Raw genomic sequence first — 11,688 nt, 5'->3', positions numbered from 1 at the left:
AAAAAAAAAAAAGAACCACCGACTGGGGCCTCAAAGATTATCACTGGGATCAGGACATGAAGAGTAGAAAGGACGCAATGTCTCTGGTGCCCACTGCAGCTGGCTGTGTGCTCAATGTCTGCCCAGGAAGGAATCTGCTCTAAGCAGAAAATATGATCTGCACCTGCAGAGGGGAAAAAAAAAAAAAGTCAGTTTCCAGAATCTTTCTACCTGTGATGTCATTAAAATTAACTGTAGATGTATTACCAGACTTTCCTCGTCCCCTGCCCAGAAAAGAGAATTCAGGCTTGGGCCATGAATTAGTCAGGGCTCTCCAGAAAAGCAGAAGCAGCAGGATGTGTGTATAGAGGGAGAGATTTAATTTCAGAAACTGGCTTACATTATTATGGAGGCCTGGTAAGCCTAAAATCTCCAGGATAGACCACAGACTGGAGGTCCAGGGAAGAGTTGCAGTGAGACCCAAGGCAGTCTGCTGGCAGAATCCTTTTTGGGCAGGGGAAATCAGTCTTTGTTCCATACAGCCTTCAAATGACTAAATGAGGCCCAGAGGCCCATCCACATTAGGGAGCGTAATCTGCTTTACTTAAGATCCACCGATTTAAATGTAAATCTAATCCAAAAAGACACCATCACAGAAACATCCAGAATAATGTTTGAACAATTATCTGGGCACTGTGACCCATCCAACTTAACACATAAAATTAACCATCGCAACCCATTTCCTGACTCCACCCTCTGAGAAGTGCCTGGCCCAGCCAGATGGGTTCTCTGGCTTTCATGATGAGAGAATGAAGAAGAAAAGGGAGGCAAGATAACAGGAGGCAGTCAGGGAGGAGGCTGAAGGAGGCTTTGGTTTTGTGTGTGTGGAGAGAGGTAGATGTAGAGAACTGGGTCATGAGAGAGTGAATGGCACAGGTTTATAAAACAGGATTTCAAGAATATCAGTGAAGAGTGTCATCATCAAAGTACTCAAAATCATACAAATAAAGGAGCTGAGTTATTTGTGAAAGCACTTTTGATGGTGTTGGCTGTGTTCTTTTTCATTGCAACACGTTTTTGGGACTTATCTATGTGGGTGTCTAGGCATTACACATATGACAGAGCCTCCATTGTGGCCAACAGGTTCCTCAGGTGGTGTGGTTACTGCAGCTGTGAGCCAACTTCAGTGTATTTATTTAGCCATTAACAACAGTAGAGAGGCCCATCTTTTCCTCTAACGGTCATTTCCTTCTTGCCTGAACACCTCCAGGGAAACTCCCCCAACCCCTTTTCAAAGGAAGTTTTCTTTCAGTCCATGATGAATGGGCAAGGTGGCCTGAAGGGAACATGGCCCACCCTCCAGTCTTAGCTAATTGCTGCAGGAATGGATGCTGGTGGGCCAGCATATATATATAAATATAAATGGATATTTATAACCTGACACGTCCACCCTACTGCTGTGTCCGGTTTCCATTGGCTGGAATGGAACCTCACATTCTGTATTTGTCCTGATTGGCTAGCAGCTTAGAACTTTCTAAAGAGGCAAAGGCAGAGGAGAACAAAGGAAGGAGGAAGTAACTTATGGAATGCTGGGAAAGGTGAAAACCCTCCAAATAAGGAAGAGGAACAGGCTATGACCTAATGCTTGTTTGGACCAGCATAAGCATGCCAGGGCAAATATTTAGGCTAAATTGTGGGAGCTAAGAACACAAAGCACATTGATTTCTTTATTATGGCTAGCAGATATCTAAGAATGTTAGCACAGGTCTTTGAATAAATTTTGCTTCTAAGAGAAGTTACTATTTATACCTAATTAGACAGGGAAGAAAAGAGAAACCTCTACTTTACTTTTTACACAAAAAGGTGGATAATCTAAAAGAAATCTTATATTAGTGATGATGCTGGTGGTGGAGATTGTGATGAAGGCAATGGTGATAATGATGATCATGATGGTAACAACAATGGGACACTGGTGGTAGTGATAGCAATCATGGTGTTGGTGATGCTCATGATGATTGTGGCAAAAGTAATCGTGGTGATGATCTGATTCTTATGATGATGCTGATGATGAAGCTGGTGATGATGGTGGTGGTGGTGGTGATGATTGTGATGGTGATAATGACAAAGTTGATGATGATGGTGATGATGGGAATGGTGATAGTGATGCCAGAAGCAACCACTCATTGAGTGCTTTAATTTTACCAGATCTACTTCTGATCAGATCTCTCAATTTCTTGGGTTAATATGCAGAGGAAATGAGGTCATAGATGCAAAAGCTTCTGAAAATGATTAAATCAATCATGACATTAATAATTTGTTTATTAACCACTTACTGTAACACTGCACTGAGCTCAGTGCTTTAGGCAGATATTTTCTCATAACAACTCTATCATAGATGTCATTTTTTATGTTTGACTGCTGACAGTTTTCAAGCTTCCACCATTCCCGTTCCCTTTGCCCCAAGTCTGGGCAAGCTGATAAGAAAGCCCAAATACTCCCTCCCTTGGCACCAGTGGGAAAAGTCAAGCTGTGCAAAAGTCAAGCTGTGTGTGATTGTAGGAACTCAAATCCCAGCCCCATCTTCTAACCACAATAAAAACCAAAGGCACTGCCACTTTGAGCCATTTTCAGACCAACTTGGGTGCCTCCCAAACCCTCCCAAAAAGACTCATGAACTGAGTAAAAAATATTTTCCTCCACTTTTGGTGCACTTGTGACATCATCAATTTCAATATTTGAACCAATTCGGGGTTGGGGGTCGTTGATCCTGCCCTCTTCACAGGGCAACCACAAAGTAAGCTCCATGAAATAGGGAATCTTATTGTTCTTATTTTATTGATAAAGAAACAGAGGATCAGAGAGGTAAATTAACTTGTTTCACATCACCGCAGCTAGCTAATGGCAAAGACAGGATTCTGTTTAACTCCAGGACCTGAGTGTGAATCAACCAGACTATATTTTCTCCATTTCTCAGGGTGATTTTAAAAATGAAGCAGGATACTTATGGTGGAAGATCCTTGAAAAACTGAAAGCATTTGCTATGGTCTGAATGTTTGTGTTTTTCCAAAATTCATAGGTTGAAATTCTAAACCCCAAGGCTGGGGGAATGGGATGGGGGGGCTTTGGGAAATAATTAGGTCATTAGGGCAGAGCCCTCAAGAATGGGATTAGAGCCCTTACAAAAGAGGCCCAAGAAAGACCTCTTATCTCTTCCGCCGTGTGAGGACACAGCAAGAAGGTGCCATCTATGAACCAGAATATGGTCTCTCACCAGACACTGAATCTGCTGGCCTCTTGATCTTGGACTTTTCCAGCCTCCAGAACTGTGAGAAATAATTTTCTGTTGCTCATAAGCTCCCCAGTTATGGTACTTTGCTATAGAAACCCAAACAAACTAAGACAGGGTCTGTTCACTTTCTCACTCTTTCAATCATTGACAACCATTTTTATAAAAAAAAACAATGTGTGTATGGGGTAGATAAATGGACTATTTCTTCCTTCAGTTTCTTTTTCTCAGCAAGTTAAATTTTTTACAGAAGTGTCTCCTCTTGCCCCCTACCTTAGCAGCTTCTCCTGATTTCTTACTGCCCAGAATGGTGACACATGGTAATGCCTAAAATGATCACTGGCAAGAGGCGTAGTGCAGCCCAATCCAATTAACGTGCTTGGGCTGTGGACTGGGTCTAGTTCCTGTGAAGTTTAAAAGGTGTGCAGGTGAGTGCATGTCAATCCAGTAATTACCTGCACTTCTGCTACTTACCAAGCGGGGTCTAGGTTTTGGGGATAGACATTTGGACAATCGGAGGCCCTTTGAGTCATTTAAAACCCAACACTCTTCTGAAAGATGTTACAGGATCCTGGGGCAAAGTAGAGGTCAACCAGGTTAACCCTCTGGAAAAATGCTTGGAATAAAGCCAACCAAAATGGGCAGGTAGGTTGAGAATGAAGGACTGAAGAAAGAGTTATAAAAACATAACCACAAACCTGGCAAGCATGAGGCTGCTTGCTACAGCAAGACACAAAACCTGAACCAGACAAGAAATTCATTTTAATAAATCATTCTTAACTAAAATTGCTGATGAAAGTTACAATAATGCTCAGCACCATAGCCCGGGTTTGGAGACTGCCTCTTTGCTCTAATTAACAAAATGAAGGATTAATTTATAAATCAAACACTCATATTAAAAATTCAGAGGGTGGCAATCAATATTTTTCTGTTCGTGCTAAATTCATCTAATTTTCTGTAATAAATGGCATTCAAAGATGATTATTGGTAAATTAACAGAATATCCAATTAAAGCACTTCTTGTGAGTGTTTGCCAATTTGGGGAGCTTGTTTATGGAAAATACAAGCTTTGGGTGGATCCTGAGGAGTATGAAGTAATTGACTCTTCCTTGGGTAACGGAAAGGTTCAGTTTGAATGGCTTGGAAACAAATCAACAAGAGCCATTTAGTAAATGTGTAAAAACATTTGCCCTTTTTCTTTCTCTTTCTCTTTCTCTTCCTTCCTTCCTTCCTTCCCTCCTTTTCTTGTTGTTGTTGACAACAAAATGAGTCAGGTCTTGCTACTTCCCACCTATGAAACCCAGAGCCTTGGCCAAGCCAATTGGATGTTATTTCCCAAAACTTTGAATATTGTAGGTGTGAAGCAAGGACAAGAGGATCAATTGAAGGTGCCTTATCACAGTGGCCGCAGTGGCACACTGGTGCCTGGCACCAGAAAAAGCCCTTGGTTCTCATCTCTTTCCTAAGCTTGGTTTTCAAGCTACCTATCAATGCTGAGAACTCTCGTGTCCTTCCAATAAATTCCCTTATGCTTAACAGGGCCAGCATCCGTTTCTTGCAGGCAACCAAGAGTTTTGACTGAGAAATAAATAACCTGAAGGAAAAGATAAATTGTGTATTAATTAAGTTTCCTGTTCAACTTAGTCTCTCTGTGTAAGGTAAGAGGAGCTTGCTTTTAGAAATATGGGGGAAGGCATCAGGAAGCTATTTAGCTTTGATAAATGTGGGGAGTGTGGTTTGGAGGGCACACGTCTCTGAATGAAATGGGCACAGAAAGAATTATGATCAGAGAGAGAGGTGGGAGAGGACAGTCAATCGGTTTACTAGAGCACATGAAATGAAGTCATTATCCAACCAACAAACAAAGGCTGGAAGTGCTGTTCAGGCCAGTGCAATTACTTGAGGCTCCTACTTATTACTAGGATGAATGACAAATATTCAGGTCTGGTTATGAATCAAGGCAGTACTTCTTCCTGGTCTTGTCTATCTGGTTTCTGACTGTGCACCTGCAATATGTTTCTCTAGCAGGGCTCCCAGTGCAAAGATCCTAAGCAAACTGGTGGCACAACATAGGTGCTCAACAAATATTTGTTGAAAGAAAGGGCAAATTGAGACCCTAGCATTTTGCTCCTGCTTTTGGAAAAAAAATGGTAGTATAGTCTTTAAAAAATTGTCATGCTTTTAACCATTTAAGAATGCATATCACCCCACTTAAAGATGTTCATTCAATAATTTCTTTCTCTTATAGGTTACTTGTAGTAGTAGACTTTCAAGATGGCTCCCAATGATTCTTTCATTCTGAAATTTATGCCATTATATATATAGCCCCCACCCCACATTCAATAGGGATGAATAGGGCTAATCTATGTATAACCGTTAGGATATTGCAGAAATGATGAAGTGTGACTTCTAAGACTACATCACAAAAGACATGGCAGCTTCCACTTTGCTCTTTCTGTCTTGGATCACTTGCTCTGGAAGAAGCCAGCTGCCATGTTGTGAGAACACTCAAGCAGATTTATCTGAGGTCCACATGGTGAGGAACTGAGGGATTTTTTGCTAACAGCCAACATGAATGTGCAATCCACGTGGGTGCAACATCTTGGAATCAGATCCTCCAGCCCCAAACAAATCTCCAGAAGACTGCAGCTTCATGAGAGACCAGAACCCAGAACCACTCAGTTAAATCCCTCCCAAATTCCTGACCAAGAGAAACTGTGAGATAACAAAATGTATTGCTGTTTTAAACCACTAAGTTTGGAGGTAATTTGTTATGCAAAAACAGGTAACTAATGCACTAGAAATGTTATAACCATAAAAAGCCCACATAATGATAATATTTGGGGTGACTTCTTCAGTCTACTCAGATCATCTCCTCCAACCCCAGGTTTCACTCCTCATGAGCGAATGTCTTAGAAACTTAGAGTTCACTGCATGGCTGGCCAACCCTGTAGTCATCAGAGAATGTTCCTCCTGGACCTGCTTCTTCACGACCCTCCACCTGTGTCCCCAAACGCCCATCATCTCCTGCTTACCTCCCAGTGTGGATTGTCAATTATTCTCCATCCATCCAGGCCCACTGTCAGATGAGGAACGGGGCCTCCAACCCTAAAGATAGAGCAGAGGAGGAAGAAGAACTCTCTCCAAAGTCACTGCTCAAAGTGGAGAATTTAAAAAATGAAAATCAAACCTTTTGCACCATGAAGATTGACCTCTTTCTTTCCAGTTGTCTCCTGTAAGTTATTACACTAAGTACGTTGCAAAAGGCTAGGCAGAGCCAGGGCCTGAAGCTCAACACCCAACTCCAGAGTGAAACTGATCCACAGCTCCTTGCTTTTCTCTTCTCCGATGAATGCGTTAGCTCAGCGTTTCCCAAGCACATGGATCTCTAGTCTCTTGGGATACTCAGAAGAGAAAACAAAAGAGTCTATGGACAAAAACCTAAGGAGTTGCCGTATTCTTTAGCCTCCCCTTAGAGATCCGTAGCATACATTCATATCCTAAGTCTTTCAGTAAAGAAAACTGTTTAACCCAGGATTTCCTGAGTGTGCTTGGACACAGAATATTTATTCCTCCCTAACAAATCCTACTGAATCAGTGTTTAACAGACACCCTTTGAGAAACACTGTTTTTGCCAAAATGTTGGTTTCTTCTCCTTTTTAGTTCTGGTTTTATGATGGCAAACAATGCAGCATGACACAAGCAGCATCACGCAAAGGAGACAGAGCTCAAGCTGCAGAGTGAGAAGACTGGGCGGGCGGGAGGTGTGTTTTGTTTTGTTTTGTTTTGGAGTTTTATTTGTTTGTTTTTTTGCTGTTTATTTTGAAAAAAAGTTTTAATACAAGAAATTATAAAAACAGTACAAAGAGTTCTCATCTACCCTTCACACAGCTTTTTCTAATAATGAAATTTAACATAACCACAGTACATTATCAAAAAATTCACAATGGTGGGCCAGGCATGGTGGCTCAGGCCTGTAATCCCAGCACTTCGGGAGGCCAAGGCAGGAGGATCACTTGCATCCAGGAGTTTGAGACCAGCCTGGGCAACATAGTGAGAACCTGTCTCTACAAAAAAAATAAAAAATTAGTCAGGCATGGTGGTGTGTGCCTGTAGTCCCAGCCACTCAGGAGGCTGAGGTGGGAGGATCATTTGAACCTGGGAGATTGAGGCTGCAGTAAGCCATGTTCATGCCACTATACTCCAGCCTGGGCAACAGAGTGAGACCCTGCCTCAAAAAAAACAAAAAATCACAATGGTACACTATTTACTGAACTCTTACTTGGGTTCCATCAGTTTTGACACAGCTTTCTGTGTATAGAATTATGAAATGTTATCACATGTGCAGATGTATGCAATCACCACCACAATCAGGATACAGAAGGGCTCCATCACCACAAAGAAACTGCCTCCTCCTCTCCCTTTATAGTCACAGCCTCCCCAACTCCTAACCTGCCAAGCACTCCATTCCTATATTATTATCATTTGTAGAGTGTTACATAAATATAAGTATGCATAACCTTTTGAGAATGTTTTTTTCTCTCAGCATAATATTCTTGAAGTCCATCCAAGTTGTTGCACGTAGCCACAGTTTATTTCTTTTTATTGCTGAGCCATACAGGCATACCTCATTTTTTCGCACTTTGCTTTTATTGCACTTCACAGATATTGTGTTTTTTACAAATTCAAGATTCTGTGGCAAGCAAGTCTGTCAGCGCCATTTTCCCAATGCAAGTATTCACTTTGCGTCTCTGTGTCTCATTCTGGTAATTCTCTCAATATTTAACATTCTTGTTATGGTGATCTGTGATCCGCAATCTTTGACGTTACTATTGTAATTGTTTTGGGGCACCACAAACTGAGCATATGTAAGATGGCAAACTTAATAAATGTGTGTGTCCTGACTGTGTCACCAACCAGTCATTCACCCATCTCTCTCCCTCTCCTCAGGCCTCCCTATTCCCTGAGACACAACAATATTGACATGAGGCCAATTCATAACCCTACCATGGACTCTCAGTGTTAAAGTGAAAGAAAGAGTTGCACATCTCTCACCTTTTACCAAAAGCTAGAAATGATTAAACTTAGTGAGAAAGTCATATCAAAAGCCAAGACAGGCCAAAAGCTAGGCCTCTTGGGCCAAGTGGTAGTCAAGTGGTAGATGCAAAGTAAAAGTTCTTGAAGGAAATTGAAAGTGCTACTCCAGTGAACATGAATGATAAGATAGCAAAACAGCTTTATTGCTGATAAGGAGAAAGTTTGAGGGATCTGGATAGAAGATCAGGATGCAAAACATTCCCTAAGCCAAAGCCTAATCCAGAGCAAGGCCCTAACTCTCTTCAGTTCTATGAAGGCTGAGACAAGTGAGAAAACTGCAGAAGAAAAGTTGGAATATAGCAAAGTTTGATTCATGAGGTTTAAGGAGAGAAGCTGTCTCCATAACATAAAAATACACAGTGAAGCAGCAAGTGCTGATGAAGAAGCTGCCAGTTATCTAGAAGATCCAGCTGAGATCATTGAAGAAGGTGTTACAGAACAAAGAAATATGTTATAGGAAAGGGGTCCCAATCCAGACCCCAAGAAAGGGTTCTTAGATCTCATGCAAGAAATAATTCAGGGCGAGTCTGCAGTGCAAAGTGAAAGCAAGTTTATTAAGAAACTAAAGCAATAAAAGAATGGCTACTCCATAGACAGAGCAGCCCCGAGAGTTGCTGGTTGCCCATTTTTATGGTTATTTCTTGATGATATGCTAAACAAGGGGTGGATTATTCATTCCCCCCACTTTTTAGACCATATAGGGTAATTTCCTGTCGTTGCCATGGCATTTGTAAACTGTCATGGCACTGGTGGGAGTGTAGCACTGAGGATGACCAGAGGTCACTCTTGTGGCCATTTTGGCTTTGCTCAGCTTCTTTTCTGCAACCTGTTTTATCAACAAGCTCTTTATGACCTGTTTTTTGTGCTGACCTCCTATCTCATCCTGTGACTTAGAATGCCCTAACCATCTGGGAATAAGGCCCAGTAGGTTTCAGCCTCATTTTTCCCAGCTCCTGCTTAAGATGGAGTTTCTCTGGTTCACATGCCTCTGACAAAGGTGGCTAAATCGAACAACAGATTTTCAATGTAGATGAAACAGCCTTCTATTGGAAGAAGACACCATCTAGGATTTTCCTAGCTGGAGAGGAGAAATCAGTGGTGATCAGACCCCAAAATATACAATAAAATGAGTGCATCAGGGACCTTGGACCCAGTGTGGGGGTCCCTGCAATGGTGAGGGGCAGAGGGAGGGAGAGAGATGACAGGAGCAACTGAGTGCATTGGCATTTCCTCTGCAGGCCATAGAAAGGGAGTTTCCCCCACTGCTTTTACCAGAACACCAAGCCTTTGAAGCCTCCCATCCCTCAGGAAGCATTCAACCTTTTAAAAAACAGCCACAATGAAACCCTCCTCTTGTCCAAACATCTCTGATTCCCTCCTGTCTAGTTCTGCTTCAGCTCCATAAACAAAGGTGTGCACTGGCACCCAGTGCAGAAAGCTAAGCCCTTGTGAAAACCTGGATAACTCCTACTCCTGATAAAGGTGGACTGTGTGTGAAGAAAGTACACCCAGCAATAAAACACAGGCTTGGCATAAGGAAACTAGGACAGAAATGTATTTGGCAATCATTTTCTATAACCTTAAAACCGTCCAGCTCTATGAAAAGCATCCTTGCAAACATTTGTTTTTGGTGTTTTGTGAGTGTGGGCACAGGTAGGTGTAAAAGGAAAATCTTGGGGCCCCAAAATTACTAAGCTAAAGGGAAAAGTCAAGCTGGGAACTGCTCAGGGCAAACTTGCCTGCCATTCTATTTAAAGTCATCCTTCTGCTCACTGAGACAGATGCATAGTCTGATCTCCTCCCTTGAAAAGGCTTATCAGAAACTCAAAAGAATGCAACCATTTGTCTCTCACCTACCTGTGACTTGGAAGCCCCCTCCTTGCTTCAAGGTGTCCTCCCCTTTCTGGACAGAACCAATGTACTTCTTATATGTATTCATTGATGTCTCATGTTTCCCTAAAGTGTATAAAATCAAGCTGTGCCCCGACCACCTTGGGCACATGTCCTCAGGACTTCCTAAAGCTGTGTTATGGGCACTCGTCCTCAACCTTGGCAAAATAAACCTAAGTTAACTGAGACCTGTCTCAAATTTTGGGGGTTCACATTTGGTAACCACGGGGGCATTCTGAGTGGAGATGCTCCTGACCTTTGACAAATTTCCTGTGGTGCTTGGTACGAGCATGAGCTAACGTTATGGCTGAAACCAATAGGACAATTTGCTGAGGTCTGAGAGCACCCCCTTCAGGGAATCCCTGATCTCTCAAAATTTGGTCAAGATCTAAAGTTTATTTTGCTGTACAACTCCTCTTTTTTTGGAGTTTTACTTGCTTCCAACACAAGGAAGGCAAGTTTTTCTGCTTCCATGATGGTGGAAGGCAGGTAACTCCTTTATGGAGTTTGATTTGAGCTCACTTCTGACAGGGAAGACGAGCTTTTTTTTCCTGCTTCTAGGATGGTAGACAGAAGTCTTCAGCCTAAGATCCATCCCTGGGTCTTAGTAACTGAATTGGAGTTTGTCTTGGTTAAGTTGAGATTAACAACCAGCTGGACTTAATTTCTCCTTGCCATTAGAGCACTCAGTGATCATATTGTTGGGGGTGTTGTTTGTTCTGGTCTTTCTCCCATCAGATTTGACCAACTCTACCTGAGTTGGTCAAATCCAAGTGAGAATTCCAAATTATGGGAAACAGGGCCTCTCTAATTTTGCTAAAATTCCTCACAGCTGCAAAAGAAAAAAAAAGCCATGTGTTTGGGCTCTGTGTTTGCTTCCTGCCTTAAAAAAAAAAAAAATCTTTCATTTATTTTCCTTCCACCCTATATCTCCTTTCCCCTTTTGCCATCTGCAGTACCAAAAAATTTAGAGAAGGAGTCTAATGACTTGAACCCCTTTTAAAGAATTCAGAACAAAGGCACCACTCACCTGCTTTTGGGGTGTTCTGTTCTCTTTGGGGAGTTTCAAGAGTCAAGGGCATATTTCTTTTAGGTCTAAAGCTGTTTTCCTGTATTGCATGACCTGACTTTTTTGGCTTTGGGGTTCCAGAAATGACTTTGCACTGTGAGAGGATTTGACCTTGGCATGTATAATGTCACACGAGAGCTACAAAGTAACGGGTAGCTGAGTACAGTTTACAGGAAGTGATCTTGGCTGGTTTTTTTATTTTTCTCTTGTAGGAAGTTGTTGTTTTAGGATCCTAATTCTAGTTCGGAGATGCATTCTAAAGAGTCTTCTCTATTGCTTTTTCTCCCAAATTAATCTTAATTTGGTTTGTCTGTGCATATTTGCATGAGGAACTGAACTGTTGTTTTCATACGTTAATGAGTGACTG

The 11,688-nt window shown here is 41.9% G+C and overlaps 1 long non-coding RNA gene across 1 annotated transcript in view; it reads right to left on the bottom strand.

The window, feature by feature from the left end:
* The window catches only part of LOC105377109 (uncharacterized), a 41,452-nt gene continuing 29,764 nt past the window's right edge, over nucleotides 1–11,688 (bottom strand). The window contains exon 3 of the long non-coding RNA XR_940879.3: nucleotides 1–163. This is a non-coding gene — a long non-coding RNA (uncharacterized LOC105377109). The remainder of the gene's footprint in view (nucleotides 164–11,688) is intronic.

The sequence above is a fragment of the Homo sapiens genome, chromosome 3 (assembly GCF_000001405.40).
Source record: "Homo sapiens chromosome 3, GRCh38.p14 Primary Assembly".
In the NCBI taxonomy this organism is placed as follows: domain Eukaryota; kingdom Metazoa; phylum Chordata; class Mammalia; order Primates; family Hominidae; genus Homo; species Homo sapiens.
Note: the sequence above shows the minus strand (reverse complement) of the source record. Positions and strands in the feature narration are given on the sequence as shown.